The 18461-nt window shown below is 54.1% G+C and overlaps 2 protein-coding genes across 9 annotated transcripts in view, besides 5 other annotated features; one reads left to right on the top strand and one right to left on the bottom strand.

The window, feature by feature from the left end:
- Positions 1-5297: 5297 nt before the first annotated feature.
- On the bottom strand, positions 5298-17407 carry SYNGR4 (synaptogyrin 4). Of its 4 annotated transcripts, none has more exons than XM_005258693.4 (5): positions 17306-17407; positions 15740-15939; positions 7921-8158; positions 5923-6062; positions 5298-5590 (listed from the first exon to the last, which is right to left on the bottom strand). In XM_005258693.4, exons 2-5 carry the CDS (start codon positions 15830-15832, stop codon positions 5357-5359), a joined length of 705 nt encoding a protein of 234 aa, XP_005258750.1. In that variant the 5' UTR covers positions 15833-15939; positions 17306-17407; the 3' UTR covers positions 5298-5356. The 4 variants fall into 4 exon arrangements, with proteins under 4 accessions (XP_005258750.1, NP_036583.2, XP_005258751.1 ...); NM_012451.4 differs by having other exon boundaries at positions 17138-17308; XM_005258694.2 differs by lacking the exon at positions 17306-17407 and adding an exon at positions 17063-17152.
- Positions 7549-8049: an enhancer, noted in NCBI's record as "H3K4me1 hESC enhancer chr19:48876883-48877383 (GRCh37/hg19 assembly coordinates)". NCBI's record gives its function as "activates a minimal SCP1, AML or CMV promoter by ChIP-STARR-seq in naive H9 embryonic stem cells {active_cell/tissue: H9 hESC(naive)}" and the evidence as "EXISTENCE:reporter gene assay evidence [ECO:0000049][PMID:30033119]".
- Positions 8050-8550: an enhancer, noted in NCBI's record as "H3K4me1 hESC enhancer chr19:48876382-48876882 (GRCh37/hg19 assembly coordinates)". NCBI's record gives its function as "activates a minimal SCP1, AML or CMV promoter by ChIP-STARR-seq in primed H9 embryonic stem cells {active_cell/tissue: H9 hESC(primed)}" and the evidence as "EXISTENCE:reporter gene assay evidence [ECO:0000049][PMID:30033119]".
- Positions 17014-17163: an enhancer, noted in NCBI's record as "active region_14890". NCBI's record gives its function as "activates an Ori minimal core promoter by ATAC-STARR-seq in GM12878 lymphoblastoid cells {active_cell/tissue: GM12878}" and the evidence as "EXISTENCE:reporter gene assay evidence [ECO:0000049][PMID:35858748]".
- Positions 17534-17653: an enhancer, noted in NCBI's record as "active region_14889". NCBI's record gives its function as "activates an Ori minimal core promoter by ATAC-STARR-seq in GM12878 lymphoblastoid cells {active_cell/tissue: GM12878}" and the evidence as "EXISTENCE:reporter gene assay evidence [ECO:0000049][PMID:35858748]".
- TMEM143 (transmembrane protein 143) overlaps positions 17735-18461 on the top strand; it is a 31585-nt gene continuing 30858 nt past the window's right edge. For 4 of the 5 annotated variants that reach the window (NM_001303540.2, NM_001303538.2, NM_001303539.2 and 1 more), the window contains exons 1-2: positions 17735-17777; positions 18144-18384. In NM_001303540.2, the coding sequence (NP_001290469.1) occupies positions 17755-17777; positions 18144-18384 (264 nt within the window). In that variant the 5' untranslated portion in view covers positions 17735-17754. The remainder of the gene's footprint in view (positions 17778-18143; positions 18385-18461) is intronic. The other variant, NR_130317.2, reaches the window with a different exon arrangement.
- Positions 18134-18183: an enhancer, noted in NCBI's record as "active region_14888". NCBI's record gives its function as "activates an Ori minimal core promoter by ATAC-STARR-seq in GM12878 lymphoblastoid cells {active_cell/tissue: GM12878}" and the evidence as "EXISTENCE:reporter gene assay evidence [ECO:0000049][PMID:35858748]".

Below are 18461 nucleotides of genomic sequence, written 5' to 3'. Positions count from 1 at the left end.
TGTTTGCGAAGTTAAGAGGAAAGTGAAATATTTTCCTTGTCTCTCTCCAGATTGGCCTCACACCTGGCCTATTTTCTTCACTTACGTTACCTGCCTGGCTGTTGTTGGCTTTTGGATTTTTGACCCTTGACTAGGTCAAACTTCCTAGATGTCCTCTAAGACCTTCCTAACTGTCTGCAGCTTCCCTGGAGGCTGGCTCTGGAAGCCTGAGGAGGCAGGGAGCTGGCGTTTCCTGAGCACTTGATATGTGCCAGGTACTGTGTGTTACATAGATGAACTCCTGCAACCCTCACAGCATCCCTACAGAGGGGGCACTTTGTGGATGAGGAAACAGGTTCAGAGGGGTGAGTGGCAAAGGTGGGCTTTGCACCTGGACTTCGTGATGCCAGAGCTTGTGTGTTTAACCAACGCTGTGTGGTTTTTCAGCCGGTTTTTTGTTTCTTTCTCTTAAGTCAAGGGACCTTCTGTTTAGATTTGTGCCTGGAAGCCCGATATGGAAAACACAGGAGCGGGGCTGCTCGCTCGCTGGGGTTGACTGGGGAAGGGGGTTGTGTTGCTGCCTGCTCAGCCCAAGGCACCTCTTTTTTTTTTTTTTTTTTTTTTTGGAGACAGGTCTCACTCTCCCAGGCTGGAATGCTGTGGCGCGATCTTCTCTCACTGCAACTTCCGCCTCCTTGGTTCAAGTGATTTTCCTACCTCAGCCTGCAGAATAGCTGGGACTACAGGCGTGTACCATCACACCTGGCTAATTTTTTTTTTTTTTTTGAGACAGTCTCCCTCTATTGCCCAGGCTGGAGTGCAGTGGTGCAATCTCACCACACTGCAACCTCCGCCTCCTGGGTTCAAGCAATTCTCCTGCCTCAGCCTCCCAAGTAGCTGGGACTACAGGTGCCCGCCACCACGCCCAGCTAATTTTTGTATTTTAGAGACGGGGTTTTACTATGTTGGCCAGGCTGGTCTTGAACTCCCAACCTCAGGTGATCCACCTGCCTCAGCCCCCCAAAGTGCTGGGATTACAGGTGTGAGCCACCGCGCCCGGCCTAATTTTTGTATTTTTTGGTAGAGATGGGATTTCACCATGTTGGCCAGGCTGGTCTCAAACACTCCTGACTTCAAGTGATCCTCCTGCCTCAGCCCCGCAAAGTGCTGGGATTTCAGGCGTGAGCCACCGTGCCCAGCCCCAAGGCATCTCTCTTTTTTTTTTTTTTTGACAGAGTCTCGCTCCGTGGTCCAGGCTGGAGTACAGTGGCGCAATCTCAGCTCATTGCAACCTCCGCCTCCTGGGCTCAAGCAATTCTCTGCCTCAGCCTCTCAAGTAGCTGGGATTACAGGCGCCCACCACCACACCGGGCTAATTTTTGTATTTTTAGTAGAGACGGGGTTTCACCATCTTGGCCAGGCTGGTCTTGAACTCCTGCCCTCATGATCCACCTGCCTTGGCCTCCCAAAGTGCTGGGATTACAGGCGTGAGCCACTGTGCCCAGCCTAGTTTTTGTATTTTTTAGAGATGGGGTTTCACCATGTTGGCCAGGCTGGTCTTGAACTCCTGACTTCAGGTGTTCCACCCGCCTTGGCCTCCCAAAGTGCTGGGATTATAGTCGTGAGCCACCGCACCCGGCCGGCATCTCTTTGAATAGTCTGAAAAGCATCCATCTAAATCCGGTTCAATTCTTTAGCTGGGTGCAGTGGCTCACGCCTGTAATCCCAGCACTTTGGGAAGTGGAGGTGAGAGAATTGTTTGGGCTCAGGAGTTCAAGACCAGACTGGGCAACAGAGTGAGACACTCTCTTTAAAAAAAAAAAAAAAGGCCAGGCACGGTGGCTTATGCCTGTAATCGCAGCACTTTGGGAGGCCGAGGCTGGCGGATCACGAGTTCAGGAGATCGAGACCATCCTGGGTAACAAGGTGAAACCCCGTCTCTACTATACAATACAAAAATTAGCTGGGTGTGGTGGCATGTGCCTGTAGTCCCAGCTATTCAGGAGGCTGAGGCAGGAGAATCACTTGAACCTGGGAGGCAGAGGTTGCAGTGAGCCGAGACCGAGCCATTGCACTCCAGCCTGGGTGACAGAGTGAGACTCCATCTCAAAAAAAAAAATAAATAAAAAACAAAAAACTAACTGGACATGGTGGCCTTTACCTATAGTCCCAGCTACTCAGGAGGCTGAGGTGGGAAGATTGCTTGAGCCCAGGAAGTTGAGGCTGCAGTGAGCCATGATGACTCTGCTGCACTCCAGCCTGGGCAACAGAGATCCTGTCTTTAAAAAAAAAAAAAATCTGTCTAATTATTTAGTTTTATAGCCAATACAACTTGGGCCCAGAGACAGTAAGTGACACACCCATGCTTATCCAGAGGGACGTCTAGTGCTGAGTCCTCTCATTTCCATGTCAGAACACTTCCTGTCTCACTGCACTGCTGCTGTTTTCTCTCTATACCCAGCAGGACCACATAGTTATTTCTACACCTCCAGGTACAGGGCCAGCCACACAGGAAGCCTCCAAAAAAGGACTAATGGAACCCAAATTTGATTCCCCACATCTCATATCCTTTCGTCCGGTTTGTGAACTAGTGCTCTGCAGGCCACGATGGCCCCAGGCAGGTGTGTTTCGTTTGGACTGCCCAACGTTTATTTTGTATTTGTTACCCACCGATTTCACTTTTTTTTTTTGAGATGGAGTCTTGCTTTGTCACCCAGGCTGAAGTGCAGTGGCACCACCTCGGATCACTGCAACCTCCACCTCCTGGGTTCAAGCGATGCTCCTGCCTCAGCCTCCTGAGTAGCTGGGACTACACGCGCACGCCACCACACCTGGCTAATCTTTGTATTTTTGTTTTTTTTTTTTTTTTTTCTGAGACAGAGTTTCACTCTTGTTGCCCAGGCTGGAGTGCAATGGCACGATCTCAGCTCACCGCAACCTCCGCCTCCCAGATTCAAGTGATTCTCCTGCCTCAGCCTCCCAAGTAGCTGGGACTAGAGGCATGCGCCACCACGCCCAGCTAATTTTATATTTTTTAGTAGTGATGGGGTTTCTCCATGTTGGTCAGGCTGGTCTCGAACTGCCGGCCTCAAGTGATCTGCCTGCCTTGGCCTCCCAAAGTGCTGGGATTACTGGCGTGAGCCACTGCACCCGGCCTAATTTTTGTATTTTTAGCAGAGACGGGGTTTCACCATGTTGGTCAGGCTGGTGTTGAACTCCTGACCTCGTGATCCGCCCAGTTGGGCCTCCCAAAGTGCTGGGATTTTAGGTGTGAGTCACCGCACCTGGCCTGATTTCACATTTTAAAACCTGCCACAGAATGGATGTCCAAACTGTCGTAGAAAAACCAGAGTTTCTGTAGCTGCACTGTCTGGTAGGGTAGCCAGTGGTTATGTGTGACTGTCAAGCCCCTGAAACCTGGCGAGTCCAAACTGAGGCGTGCTATTGGTGTAAATACACGATGGGTTTCAAAAACTTAGTACCAAAGAGTGGAAAATGCCTCACTAATAATTTTTATATTGATTACATGTTGAAATGATATTTTGGATATATTGACATAAATAAAATATTAAAATTAATTTCACTTGTTTCATTTTACTTTTTTTTTTTTTTTTGAGACAGAGTCTCATTCTGGAGTGCAGTGGCATAATCTTGGCTCACCGCAACCTCCACTTCCTGGTTTCAAGTGATTCTCGTGCCTCTGACTCCCAAGTGGCTGGGATTACAGGCATACCCGGCTAATTTTCGTATTTTTAGTAGAGACGGGGTTTCACCATGTTGGTCAGGCTGGTCTTGAACTTCTGGCCTCCTCAAGTGATCTGCCCACCTCAGCCTCTCAAAGTGCTGGGATTATAGGCATGAGCCACCGCATCCACCTTGTTTTACTTTTCTTAATGTGGCCACTAGACTATTTTAAACTCCCCTTGGGTGTCACATCAGATTTCAAGTGGACAGCACTGTTCTAGAAACCCCAGGCTGGCCAGGCGTGGTGGCTCATGCCTATAATCCCAGCACTTTGGGAGGCCAAGGCAGGAGGACTGCTTGAGCCCAGGAGTTCAAGACCAGCCTGGGCAACATAGTGAGATCCCATCTCTTCAAAAAAATTGAAAAATTAGCTGGGAGTGGTGGCACACACCTGTAGTCCCAGCTACTTTGGGGCTTGAGGCAGGAGGATTGCTTGATGCCAGGAGGTCAAGGCTGTAGAGAGCTATGATTGTACCACTGCACTCCAGTCTGGGCTGCAAAACGAGATGCCATCTCGGAAAAAAAAAAGAAACTCCAGGCCCCGTTACTGAATGTGCGCTGAGTGAAGGCTGCCCCTCCTGGATGTGGCCCTGTTCCCACTATTCCCTTAATAGGCGCTTCACCCACTGGGGTTTCCTGCCTGGCTCCTACAGGTAGGAACGTTTGTGGCCCGTGCCTGAGTCCCCCGCTTACCACTGGGGTTCTCCTGGAATGAAAACTCCTCCTCCCCAAAGATATTCTTTGAAATATTTGAAGACAAGGGTCTCCCTTGAATCTCATTCGCGGACTCAGCACCCCGTTCCTTCACTGACTCCTCACACGCCATGGTTTTTAGTCTTTGGTCACCATGAGGAGTGAAAGGGCTTGGGCTTGAGTGACAGGGCTGGGTCCCCTTGTTGGCCCTTCCTCTTGGTGCTCTCTCCACGGGTGGAAGCATTTTCTCTCTGAACTTTGGTTTCCTCAACTGTAAGAGGAGGCTCCTTGTGCCTCCCTCCCCTGGCCAGTGTGGGGACTCAAGGAGTAGTGACTTGACAGGACTTAGTGTGTAACAGGCCTGAAGAAAGTGCTTCCTGGCCGGGCACGGTGGCTCAGGCCTGTAATCTCAGCACTTTGGGAGGCCGAGGTGGGAGGATCACAAGGTCAGGAGTTCGACACCAGCCTGACCAACATGGTGAAACCCCGTCTGTACTGAAAATACAAAAATTAGCCAGGCGTGGTGGTGGGCATTACAGGTGCGCACCTGTAATGCCAGCTACTAGGGAGGCTGAGGCAGAAGAATTGCTTGAACCTGGAAGGCAGAGGTTGCAGTGAGCCAAGATTGCACCACTGCACTCCAGCCTGGGCGACACAGCGAGACTCTGTCTCAAAAAAAAAAAAAAAAAAAAAAAAAAGTGCTTCCCGCCTCTCACCACCTCCCATCCGTCACTATCAAGGTGGTGCCCCAGTGATGGTTCCAGGAGATGGTATGGAAATGTGACCCAGTGCAGAGACCCCAGCGGTGACCTTGTGGGATTCTTACCCACCCTCGCCACTCAAGCAACCAGAGTGGAACAGACATGAGAAGGACTGAGGGCTGTTTTTAGAAACCCTTCTGGAGGGAGGATTCTCTCTTTATTGATTTGGATAAGGATATTTAGTTGTCAGGCATCATAGCAAGCCGGGGGGACTTTGGAGCGGTCAGACAGGGGGACAGGGCAGAGCTAGCATAACTCAGGCTGTTGGGGCCAGTGGTGGGCATGTTCACAGGGCTGTTGGCAGAGGGCAAGGGGAGGGTGGTCAGCACCATGCCACCCTCATCCAGGAAGCGCTTGTAAGGGACTGGAGCATCATTTCGGAGGTCCTGGAATGCCAGGTAGGCCTGGAATATCTGTGGGCAGAAAAGCGCGTGCTGAAGGCTGACTTGGGCTGGGCAGGTCAGGAGAGGGACTGGGCTGGGGACTGGCCTGGGAAGGAGACAAAAGATACCGGTGTTTGGACTGCTCACTGCCCAGGAGCCCTAGGCCAAAGCACAGGCCCTGATGCTGGGCTGTGGCTGCTCAGAGGAAGCGGCACCTGGAAGGGACCAGTGGAGTCCTGGGGGAACCCCCGACCCCTGACCCCCAGGGGAGCTAAGTGAGAGCAGGAATGTTCTAGCCCTTTCAACCCCACCCTGCAGAGGGTGCCCTCCTAGGGAGGGGTGGTGGAGGGGCTTGTCCTCACCCAGACAAGGATGGAGAAGAAGGTGAAGGCGATGGCTGCCTGGGCACTGCTGCTCCCCAGGAGGAACTCTTTGGGCGGCGAATGCTGCCATTGGTTGGCCAGGAAGCAGAAACCCATGAACCAGACAACTGCCCAGAGAACTGTGGCGTCACAGGGAGAGAAAAGGGGCAGGGGGAAAGCTCACTCAGGCAGGGCTGCTGAGGCATGGGAAGGATGGGGCTGGTGGTCTTGCTGCACGAACTTCCACGAGGTATTGAAAAATACTTTTTTTATTAGCTTCTATGTTGACACATCTCCCACAAGTCATTCCCCAGTCCCTCCTAGCCTTCCCTAAAGTGAGCTGCTGGAGTAGAGTTGCGCTGTCTAATACAGGAGCCGCCGGCCTCATGCAGCGGTTTAAATTTCTATTCATTAACACAGGATTTTAGGCTAGGCGAGGTGGCTAACGCCTGTAATCCCAGCACTTTGGGAAGCTGAGGCAAGTGGATCACTCGAGGCCAGGTGTTCGAGACCAGCCCGGGCAACATGGCGAAACCCCGTCTCTACTGAAAAAACAAAAATTAGCCCAGCACGGTGGCGGGCACCTGTAGTCCCAGCTACTCAGGAGGCTGAGGCAGGAGAATCGCTTGAACCTGGGAGGCGGAGGTTACAGTGAGCTGATATTGCGCCTCTGCACTCCAGCCTGGGCGACAGAGCGCAACTCTGTCTCAAAAAAAAAAAAAAAAAATGTTTCTCAGCTGCACTGGCCACATTTCTTTTTTTGTTGTTGTTGTTATTGAGACAGAGTCTCGCTCTGTTGCCGAGGCTGGGGTGCCATGGCGCAATCTCAGCTCAGTGCAAGCTCTGCCTCCCGGGTTCAAGCGATTCTCCTGCCTCAGCCTCCCGAGTAGCTGGGACTACAGGCACTCGCCTCCCTGCCCAGCTAATTTTTGTATTTTTAGTGGAGACAGGGTTTCGCCATGTTGGCCAGGCTGGTCTCAAACTTCTGGCCTCAAGTTATCCACCTGCCTTGGCCTCCCAAAGTGCTGGGATTCCAGGTGTGAGCCACCGTCCCCGGCCAGCAGCTGCATTTCAAGTGCTTAATAGCCACGGGTGGTCAGTGGCTCCTGCATGAGAAGGCGCAGGGACAGAACATTTCCACCCTCACAGGGAGTTCTCCTGCACAGCACTAGATTCGATGACCTTCTAAGGCTCCCTTGGCCCTAAGTCACTGGGACTGGCCCAGTAGGGAGGAGGAGCGGCAGGGTGGGGAGGAGTTGAGATCAAACAGACTGAGAGGAAGGAGGTCAGGCCCCAAAGAAGGACACACATTTTGTGCTTGCTTATGCCAGGCTCCATCGGGAGTGTTTGGCAGTGGTTAGGAGGCAAGACTTTGGCTGGGCGTGGTGGCTCACGCCTGTAATCCCAGCACTTTGGGAGGCAGAGGTGGGTGGATCACCAGGTCAGGAGATCGAGACCATCCTGGCTAACACACTGAAACCCCGTCTCTACTAAAATACAAAAAATAATTAGCCGGGTGTGGTGGTGTGCGCCTGTAATCCCAGCTACTCAGGAGGCTGAGACAGGAGAATCGCTTGAACCCGGGAGGCGGAGGTTGCAGTGAGCCGAGACTGTGCCAGTGCACTCCAGCCTGGCGACAGAGTGAGACTCCATCTCAAAAAAAAAAAAAAAAAAAAGAGAGATTTTCTGTAAATGAGGGAAGCAAATGCAAAGAAGGCACGGGGCAGAAGGGAGGCTGCTATAATTTGTCTGGGGGTCAGAAGAGGTGACCCTTACCCAGGGTCTGAAGGATAAAAATAATTCCCCAGGAGGAGACAGCAGGTGCCAGGCACAGTGAGAAGCTCTGGGCCACTTGTGGTCAGATGCCTCCTACTGGGAGGACAGTCAGGGTGGAGGCCGGCTAGGTGGTGAAGGGTTGTGCCCGGGAGGCCCTGGGGAGCCAGGAGGGCTGTGAGCGGGAGGAGGGGCAGCTCTGGGTTGGGGGTCCTGGGGGCTCACCAGCCAGGATGAAGTCCAGGAGCTGGAAGGCTGTCTTGAAGCGGGTGCCGGCAATGCGGGTCTCCTGTGTGTCCAGGACGAGGAAGGCCAGGCAGCTGAGGAAGGCCAGGAAGCCGGCTCCCACGGCAAAGCTGCAGGCCACGCTGTTGCTGTTGAGAATGCAGTGGAGCTGCGGAGACTCCATCTTGTTCTGGTAGCCGTCGGTCAGCAGGGAGGAGAAGACGATCAGGGAGAAGACCTGTGGATTTCCAGGGGCCAGAGAAGAGCTCAGTCTCTCCCTGAAGCTGCTCCTCCTTCCTCCCTGGTGCTGTCGGTCTTTCCGTATACCCAGTCACTGGTCCGTCTGGACCTCTCCCTCTTTGACATTGTCACAGTGTCAGAGCCCTCAGCTTCCTGCCCCTCGTCCCCTCTGCTCCATCCTGGCTCAGGCCTCGTCTGCTCTCCTTGGCCCTTGCCCCAGCCTCCTCCCAGCCTCCCCACCTCCAGTCTTCCCCACCTCAGCACATCTCCACCATGGCCCCAGGGGAGTCTTTCCACACCCTGCCCCTCCCTGCCACAGCCCCTCATGGCTCCCCAGTGCCTCAGGACTGAGTCCCAGCCCTGAAGCCTGGCCTTGGAGGCCCTGCAGAGTCTCCGCTTCCCTCACTCTTCCAATTTCATCTCTCCTCACTCACCCCTGCCTCCCCCACACTCTCCTTCTGCCACCAAACCCAGGTACCCATATAAAATGCCTGGCACAGTGCCCGGGACATGGGAAGAGCTGAATCAGTGTTTGCAGTCGTGATTATTCTCTCTGCCTCTCAGCTCTTCCCTCTGGGGTGGTTCTGAGGACTAAACGAGAGGAGGCACTTAGAGCCCTTCCCTCTGCGACTTCTGTCTCTTCCCTCCTGGCCTCACTAATTCCTATTAATTTCTTAGGTTCATTTGCAAGATAGTCCAAGCATACAGAAAAATACGAAGAGAAACATAAGAAACACCCAGTGTCACCTGGCCAAACTAACACATATTAACATTTTGCCTTGTTTTTTGGCTTCGGGATTTTGTTTTAGACAAATACTACGACACTGATCTGGTAACCCTGTCCCTCTCGTCTGTTTTTTTTTTTGGAGACAGAGTCTGGCTGTCACCCAGGCTGGAGTGCAGTGGCGCCATCTCGGCTCACTGCAGGCTCCGGCCCCCGGGGTTCACGCCATTCTCCTGCCTCAGCCTCCCGAGTAGCTGGGACTACAGGCACCCGCCACCATGCCTGGCTATTTTTTTTTTTTGTATTTTTAGTAGAGACGGGGTTTCACCATGCCAGCCACGATGGTCTCGATCACCTGACCTCGTGATCCGCCTGCCTTGGCCTCCCAAAGTGCTGGGATTACAGGCGTGAGCCACCACGCCCGGCCATGCCTGTCTTCTATGTGTATTTGCTAAAAAAACCACGGAAACACTCTATAAACACTCACCCAGGTCATCCTTACAGCCACCCTAGGACACGGGCACTACTCACAGCCCTGTGTTTCAGATAATGGAACTGGGGCACAGAGAGGATAAGGAGTTGGCCGAATCCAATTAGCTGGCCAGTGGCTGGGCGAGGTGGCTCATGACTGTAATTCCAGCACTTTGGGAGGTTGAGATGGGAGGATCGTGTCAGGCCAGGAGTTTGAGACCAGCCTGGGCAACAGAGCGAGACCCAGTCTCTACAAAAATATTAAAAACAAAAATAGCTGGGTGTGGTGGTGCATACTTGTAGTCCCAGCTACTTGGGAGGCTGAGGCAGGAGGATCACTTGAGCCCAGGAGGTTGAGGCTGCAGTGAGCCATGATCATGCCACTGCACTCCAGCCGAGGCGAGAGAGCAAGACTCTGTCTCAAAACAAACAAACAAAAGGCCAAGCACAGTGGCTCACATCTGTAATCCCAACACTTGGGAGGCCAAGGTGGGAGGAATCGCTTGAGCTCAGGAGACCAGCCTGGGCAACAGAGTGATACCTAGTATCTACCAAAACTTCTTAAAAAAAAAAAATTAGCTCAGTGTGGTGGCATGCACCCGTAGTCCCAAGTACTTGGGGGGCTGAGGTAGGAGGATCACTTGAGACCCAGAAGTCAAGGCTGCAGTAAGCCCTGATTGTGCCACTGCACTCCAGGCTGGGTGACACAGTGAGGCCCTGTCTCAAAAAAAAAAAAAAAAATCAGCTGGTCAGTGTCAGAGCCTGGATTTGAACAGAAGTAGCCTGGCTTCTGAGTCTGCCCTTGACCTCTTGCTCTTCTTCCTCACACTGGACCACGCGCCTTGAGGGCGGGGGCTCCTATCAACGAAATTCGGTGAAAATTTGAAGCCCCAGTGATTTGTCCCAGATGGTCACAATGCAGCAGGGCAGGTCTGTGCCAGACAAAGACGAGCTGGTGTGTAGATGGGGTGGTGGGGAGGAGGCTGGGGCCTGGGGTGGGGGAGAGAGTCAAGGTGGAAGCCAGATTGAGGGCTGGATTTCAGGTGAGTTCTGAACTGGACCTTAAAGAACAAGGAGTTTCTCAGACAGACAAGAGGAGGAAGGGCATTCCCGGCAGGGTGGATGGCATGTGGAAAAGCCAGATGCTGCAGAGCGGGCAGTTTCAGAGATAAGAGAGAAACTCACTGGAGGGTTCTGGTGTGAGATGAGGCTGGAAAAGTGGGTGGGAGCCAGGCTCTAAGAGGCCCGGAACACCAGGGCCAGGAGCCGGACTTGGGGAGCCATGGAAAGCATTCAATATTATGCATGGGAGGATTCTGTGCAGGGGACAGCTGGGGTCAGCCTTGGGGTTAGAGAAGCCCTCTGGGGTCACGTGGCTGATGGATCGGAGGTGGGCAAGACAAGAGGCCAACATACCTGAGAGGAGGCGGGGAGGCCCAGGTGAGAAAGGCTGAGGCCAGAGCCCTGGGGAATTCAGTAATATTTAGCGTGTAAAATAGGACTTGGTGATTGATTGGAAGTGGCAGTGTTGGCGATAGGGGTTGGGGATGGCGGGGGTAGGCTAAGGGAAACAGACTGTTGAAAATCTTCTCTTTGGTCTGGTGTGGTGGCTCATGCCTGTAATCCCAGTGCTTTGGGAGGTTAAGGCGGAAGGATCATTTGAACCCACGAGGTCTGGACTGCAGTGAGCTGTGATCGCACCACTGCACTCCAGCCTGGGCAACAGAGTGAGACCCTGTCTCAAAAGAGAAGAAAAAGAAAATCTCCCCTTCGTTAGAATTGGAACTCTTCCTGGATAGGCTCCACACAGGACTCTCTCTCTCTTTTTTCTTTTTTTGAGACAGTGTCTCACTGTGTCTTGCAGGCCGGAGTGCAGTGGCGTGATCACGGCTCACTGCAGCCTCGACCTCCTGGGCTCAAGCAATCCTCCCACCTCAGCCTCCTGAGTAGCTGGGACTACAAGTGCGAAATACCATGCCTCACTCATATTTAATTTTTTGTAGAGACGGTATTGCTATGTTGCACAGGTGGGTCTCAAACTCCTGGCCTCAAGCAATCCTCCTGCCTTGGCCTCCCAAAGTGTTGGGATTACAGGCGTGAGCCACCTTGCCGGGCCCCTGCTCTCTATCCCCAGCACCCAGCGCTAGACTGGACTTCAGCAAATGTGTGTTGAAAGAGTGAATGGCTTTGGCTTGTCTTGACTCTTGCCCTGCCCTTCAGAGTGGAGATGGAGGAGGCAAAGAACGGACCCCTAAACTCCTGAGCTTCCGTCCATCCTCCCTTCTCCTTTGCCTTAATTGCCTTCTGTGAACAACAACAGCAGCAACACCCTGACTCCCTGTTTTTGCCTAGCCCTTCAGCAATAACCAAGGGTATTCACATCCATCATCTCACTTGATCTGCACAGCAACCCTTGGAGGGAGGCTGTAAGATGATTCTCCCTATTTTGGAGCAGAAGAACTGACTGTAGAGGGGGTGTGTCTGGCCCTGCTGGTCTGAGGCAGAGTCAGGTCGAGGACAAGAAAGCACATTGATCATTTTTGAGCCCATATTCATTTTACCTGCGTTACCTCCCTGGAACCTCACACCGGCCCCACGTGGTGGAGATTATTAATTCATTTCTGTTTCACAGGTGATAAATCGAAGCCATTTTGGTGGAGTGGAAAGAGCCAGATGCTTCTGACTGTGCCAGCTGTATGGCCTGGGGCAAATCACTCATCTCTTGGAGCCTCAGTTTCCTGGTCTGTTTCTATGCTATGAAAAGGAGGAATGTGGGGGTAGGGGCTTGGCTCTAGTAGGTGCTCAGGAAAATGGTCATTCTTGTGATTTGCCCAGAGAGGGAAGGCGTCCTCTCAAGGTCAGTAAGTGGTGAAAGGGGGATTGGAATCTAGCCCTCCTGACATCTAGGCCGGTGGGCTGTCTGTCCACTGACCCCCAAAACCCTGGGCTGTGACATGAGCCCGGGACACTGGAGATTTGAGGAGCAGGGGCTCATCTGGGCTAGAGGGACCCTATCCCTCTTAAGCTTCAGTCCAAACTCCTTCCATGCCCTCCCTGGCCTGTCCCTAGGGAGGGAGCAAAGATTTATCAGTTAAGGCACCAGCTGGCAGGCGGCAGCGAGGACAAGAGCACCAGCTGCCCAGAGACTCCCTACTGAGGAGCCAGGCCAGGGGGGAAGGAGGAGAGGGCGGGGGGGTAGGGACGGTGGAAGGAGGCGGCGGGCAAAGTCCGTGACCAGAACGTCTGGCATGGTTGGCGGCTCTTCCTCCTCCTTCCCCGCACCAGTCCACACCAGCTGGGCTTCCGTCTCCTTGCCACCCGCCCTGCCTTCCGAGGCTTTCCAGATAGGTGGGTGGATCCGAGTTGGACTTGCTCACCAGCTGGGTGATGTCCTTGGGCATGCCACTCAACCTCTGTGAGCCTCAGTTTCCCCTTGGGTTAAACAGGGATCATAATGCCTGTGTCACAGGGTTGTGGTGAGGAGTAGAGAAACTAACACCAGCGAAAGATCTGGTGCTGGGATGCGGTTTTCAAGATTCCCCTCTTTCCCTGGGGGAGGACAACGGACACAAATCTCAATCATCCTAGGCCCTCTCCTCACACACGGTAATGATTTGTTTTGATAATAATCACTATTTAAGCCTGGGTGCGGTGGCTCACGCCTGTAATCCCAACACTTTGGAAGGCCGAGGCGGGTGGATCATTTGAGGTCAGGAGTTTAAGACCAGTCTGGCCAACATGGTGAAACCCCATCTCTACTAAAAATACAAAAATTAGCCAGGCATGGTGGTGCACGCTGGTAATCCCAGCTACTCCGGAGGCACAAGAATTGCTTGAACCCAGGAGGCGAAAGTTGCAGTGAGCTGAGACTGCACCAACTGTACTCCAGCCTGGGTGACAGAGCAAGGGTCTGTCTCAAAAAAAAGAAAGAAAAAGAAAAAAAAATCACTAAGGAAAGATCACTACTTGCCTGGCCCATGCTAATCAGTTTATAGGCATTAATTTGTTACATTTTCACAATGATTCTTCCTAGGAGTAGATTATTAGGATCCTCTTTTTACAGACGAGAGTAAGGAGATGTTCAGAGAAATCACATAGCTTGCTCAGGGTCACACGGACACAGGGTGACCAGGCAAGCCATCAAACCAAAGGGGCACTTTTGAGAAAGAAAGTTGCTGCTGCTGGTAAGGACATCAGGCCTGGCCCAGGTAAACTGGGCAGTATGCCACTTTGCATGGACAGCACGTGCCTGAGCCAGGATTCCAGGCCTGTTTGTTCCTTCTCCAAGCTCAGGCTCTAGAAGGGGCAGAGAGGAGATACTCTGGATTAGCACTCTGGGGGTGGAGACCCTGGGTCTGAGCCGGGGAACTCCACCTACTCCTAAGACCTCGATCAAGTCTCAACATCTCCCTGGGCCTTAGTTTCCAATTCTGTTAAAGCGGAGTGGTGGAAGCAGCACAGGTTAAAGGTCAGAGCCACAGCCCTAACCCTTCATGTACTGAGATCCAGAGATGAACAGTGATTGGTTCAAGATCACACAGCAAAGTCTGGGCTGAATGAGGATTTGACTCCAGGTGTCCAGATTCTTCAGGAGTGTGGGGATGATGAAATGAACGGTGGCATGGTGCCTGGCACACGGTTACCACCCAACATCTGGCACTTCAGGGCTGCACTCCTTATTCTCTTCCTAGAAGCCCCAGCCCCTGTTCCTCTCCTTCTCCTCCTCCCTCAACTGGGAGGTGGAAAATAAATGGGCTCTGGCATCTCACAGATCTGAGTTTGAATCCTGCCCCTGCCTGTTACTGCGTGACCTTAGCCAATGCTGTCTAATAGAACTCTCTGGCATGATGAAAATGTCCCATATCTGCACTAATTTTTTTTTTTTTTTAAATGGAGTCTCGCTCTGTCGCCCAGGCTGCAGTGCAGTGGTGTGATCTCGGCTCACTGCAAGCTCCACCTCCCGGGTTCACGCCATTCTCCTGCCTCAGCCTCCAGAGTAGCTGGGACCACAGGCGCCTGCCACCACACCCAGCTAATTTTTTTGTATTTTTAGTAGAGATGGGGTTTCACCGTGTTAGCCAGGATGGTCTCGATCTCCTCACCTCACGATCCGCCCGCCTCGGCCTCCCAAAGTGCTGGGATTACAGGTGTGAGCCACCGTGCCCAGCCACAATTTTTTTTTTTTTTTTTGAGACAGAGTCTCACTCTGTCACCGAGGCTGCAGTGCAACCTCCGCCACATGGGCTCAAGCCATCCTTGAGCCTCAGCCCCCTAAGTAACTGGGACTACAGGCTTGCGCCACCATGCCTGGATAATTTTTGTATTTTTAGTAGAGATGGGTTTTCGCCATGTTGGCCAGGCTGGTCTCGAACTCCTGACCTCAAATGATCTGCCTGCCTTGGCCTACCAAGGTGCTGGTTTTACAGGCATGAACCACCACACCCAGCCTGTACTGTCTAATATGAGAGTCCCCAGCCACATGTGGCTGTTGAGCACCTAAAATGTGGCCACTGTGAGTGAAGAATGGACTTTTATTTTAATTAGTGCAAAGTGAGGTAGCCACATGTGGCTGTGGCTACCCCACTGGACATCCCAGATTTAAAAAATTTACTTAGGCTGGGCGCGGTGGCTGACACCTATAATCCCAGCACTTTGGGAGGCTGAGGTGGGCAGAACACTTGACGTCAGGAGTTTGAGGCCAGCCTGGCCAACATGGCGAAACCCCATCTCTACTAAAAATACAAAAATTAGCCAGGCGCAGTGGCGCACACCTGTAATCCCAGCTACTTGGGAAGCTGAGGCAGGAGAATCGCTTGAACCCAGGAGGTGGAGTTCCAGTGAGCGGAGATCACGCCACTGCTTTTTGCACTCCAGCCTGGGCAACAGAGCGAAACTGTTTCTTTCTTTTCTTTTTTCTTTTTTTTTTTTTTGAGATGGAGTCTGGCTCTGTTGCCTGGGCTGGAGTGCAGTGGTATGATCTCCACTCACTGCAAACTCCACCACCCGGGTTCGAGTGATTCTCCTGCCTCAGCCTCCTCAGTAGCTAGGATTACAGGTGTGTGCCACTATGCCTGGCTAATTAAGATTGTTTCAAAGAAAAAAAATTTACTTAACTTTTCTAAGCCCTAGTTTTGTTATCTCAGAGATGGGACTTGCAGCACCTACTGTGAGGGCTGTTCCTTACTATGAGAGTCCATCAGTGCCTCAATAGCATAGGGCCTATAGTGGGGTGCTCAGGAAAAGGTGGTGTCAGCATTTGCTCCGTTGTCTTGTTTCCCCGTCTGACCCCTTCCTTGTCCTCCCATCTCCCGCACTGTGTCTGGGAGTTGAGAGCTCCTGGCTCCTGTCACCCAGGGGCACAGTCGGGCCATGGGAGGGCCTCACCCCTTCGAAGACCCGCGTGATGGTCTTGGGCCTTCTCAGAAACTGCACGGCTTCGCTGTTGGCCAGCTCCTGGAGGCTTTTGGGGATGTGCATGGCAGCTGTTTTCCTTTGGGGCCACTGGGAGGTGGGAGCCAGGGTGCTGGGCGCTGCCTGCTGGGCACTGCCGTCCGGGGGCTTCAGGCCAGCCCTGGGCTTGGCTGCTGTGGGATGACACAGATGGGGGATGCCAGTCAGGGGCACGGGGTGGAAGGGCTGTTGGGGGCCCCAGGATTGGGGGACATGGGGTGGGGATGGGGGGGGTCCCCGGAATGGAGTTGTGTGGGGTGAGGGGACTGCTGAGCCTCTTAGGAGTCAGGGTGTGGGGTGAATGGGCTGTCAGGGGCCCCAGAAGTCGGGGACGTAGGATGGGGGTGCAGGTGGGTCCCAGGGAATGAGGTTGTGTGTGCTGAGGGGGCTTCTGTGGGCCCCAGGAGTGGGGGGCATAGGATGGGGGTGCTGGGGGTCCCAGGAATGGGGTTGTGTGGTGAGGGGGCTACTAGGGGTCCCAGAAGTGGGAGGCATAGGATGGGGGTTCTGGGGGGTCCCAGGAAAGGTGTTGTGTGGAGAGGGCTGCTAGGGGTCCCTGAAGTGGGGGACATAGGATGCGGGTGCTGGGGGTTCCCAGGAATGGGGTTGTGTGTGGTGAGGGAGCTTTCTGGGGGTCCCAGGAGAGGGGGGCATAGGATGGGGATACTAGGGGTCCCAGGCAAGGTGTCGTGTGGGGAGGGCTGCCAGGGGTCACAGAGGTGGAGGTGCAGGATGAGAGAGTCGCTAAGGGTCCCCTGGGTTGAGGTGTGGGTTAAGGGGGTCTATGGAGGATTCCAGAGAGGTGAGGGCCTGGGGTGAGGGTGATTCTGGGGGTCCCAGGAGTGGGGGACATAAGTGAAGGGGCTGCTTCAGGTTCCAGAAGTCAGGAATGTGGGCTGAGGGGGTTGTTGGGCGAGAGGGCTGTCAGGGATCCCAGAGGTGGAGTGCAGGGGAGGGCTGGGATATTTGGGGACCACGTCTTGTGACCCAGGAGCTGAAGGGCCTGCAGAGGGACTGGGTCCTTCTGTGAGAGGACACAGGTGGGACTTTCTGGGGACTAGGGGGTGCGGCCATTGAGATCAGAGCCCCTGGGAGGTCTGAAACCGAATAATCCCTTTCAGGTTTGGGGGTGACAGCACCCTTCGTGGAGAACCCAGGTATCTCAGGGCATATTTCAGGCTGTCCTTGTCACTTGGGGCCATTTCCCAGAATAAGGGCCTCCCTTTCGAATTCAGCTCCATTTTCACGGAAGTGCACCTCCTCAAGCTGGGAGTCGGGACCTCGGATTTGTGGGGAACCTCAGAATGAGGCCACGCCCCGGCACTGGGCTACCTTCTTAGAATCGCGGTCTCCCCTTTAAGGACCTGGAATGGCAGTGCTGAGGTTTGGGGGTGACGGCACCTGAGAAGGGGCCGCCCCTTCTCTGGAGGGCCAATCTGCGTCACCTGAGGGCCCGCCCTTCCTTTCGCCACCCCCACCCCTCCTGGTCCCTAGCGCCACCTCAGCCTTCTTTTGGTTCCGCTTTTTCCCGCCTTTTCGCTCCTCCACAGCTGATTGGCTGCGCCCAAGTCCCGCCCCCTCCCTCTTTCCGCCTACTCAGGAGCTGACACGAGCCGGGGCGTGGCCTCGGCGAACGTTGGACTGCGCGCCGTTGGCGGACTGCGCGCGGGAGCCCTACCCCGCCCCATCCCTCTAGGGAGTCTCGCGTCCACACCGCCCCTTCCCTTTGTAGCAAGCTGACAAGGAGACACTCCTGCGGCGCATGCGTCGCGCCCAAACGAGGCCGGCGGTGGAGAAAGGCAGGCAACGCATGCGTAGTTGATGTAGGGAGTCGGCGGTGAGAAATGGACAGCCCGCATTGACCGAAGCTTTGCGCATGCGTTTTACTGCTGGGTGAAGCCGAACCTCGGGAGCCCAGGACGCCCTCCTGCACATGCGCAGGAGGCTCAATGACAGTCGAGCTTTGGCTAAGGTGAGGGAGAAATCGGGGGATTGCATGGCCAGGGAGGGCGGCCCTGCACCCCCTAGGTAACCTTTACGAGCATTTCCTGCTCTCCTAAGATCTACCTCGCTGTCTAGACCCCAAAGAAACGTTGTACCACTACAGGGTCTCTGGGCCTGAAAAACGCCCCAGAACCTAAGACCTCTGACCCCTGTCTGGGACCCAGGCCAACTGAGCAGTGTGGGAAGGGGACAGGCAACAGGGGCTTTGAGGCGAGCGGATGGGCTCTGCGCCCTGCCTGGGGTAGAGACGGCTTCTGGAGGGTGGGACGTGGAGGTGGAGAGGGCGCTTTTCCTCTAGATGGCCTTTGACCCCTGCCCATTTTCCTCTGTTTAGGCTCCGGGGAAAGGGTCTAGCCATGCTGCATGTGACCCGGGGGGTCTGGGGGTCCAGGGTCCGAGTATGGCCACTGTTGCCCGCGCTCCTCGGGCCCCCCCGGGCCCTCTCATCGCTGGCAGCCAAAATGGGGGAGTATCGCAAGATGTGGAACCCCAGGGAGCCCCGCGACTGGGCCCAGCAGTACCGCGAGCGCTTCATTCCCTTCTCCAAGGAGCAGCTGCTCCGCCTCCTAATACAGGTACCGCCTGTCCCAGGCCCAAGAGCCTGGGGACTACGGCTCCCAGCAGGCTTCGCGGCGGCAGGGCCCTAGTTGCT

This window comes from Homo sapiens, chromosome 19 (genome assembly GCF_000001405.40).
Source record: "Homo sapiens chromosome 19, GRCh38.p14 Primary Assembly".
Classification (NCBI taxonomy): domain Eukaryota; kingdom Metazoa; phylum Chordata; class Mammalia; order Primates; family Hominidae; genus Homo; species Homo sapiens.
This window is presented reverse-complemented; position numbering and strand designations above follow the sequence as displayed.

Coding starts and splice junctions, on each gene's coding strand:
- SYNGR4 (XM_005258693.4), bottom strand. CDS start 15,832: ATGCACATCCCCAAAAGCCTCCAGGAGCTGGCCAACAGCGAAGCCGTG. Junction 6,063..7,920: donor CCTGGACTTCATCCTGGCTG/GTGAGCCCCCAG, acceptor GTGACGCCACAG/TTCTCTGGGCAGTTGTCTGG. Junction 5,591..5,922: donor TCTTCTCCATCCTTGTCTGG/GTGAGGACAAGC, acceptor TTCTGCCCACAG/ATATTCCAGGCCTACCTGGC.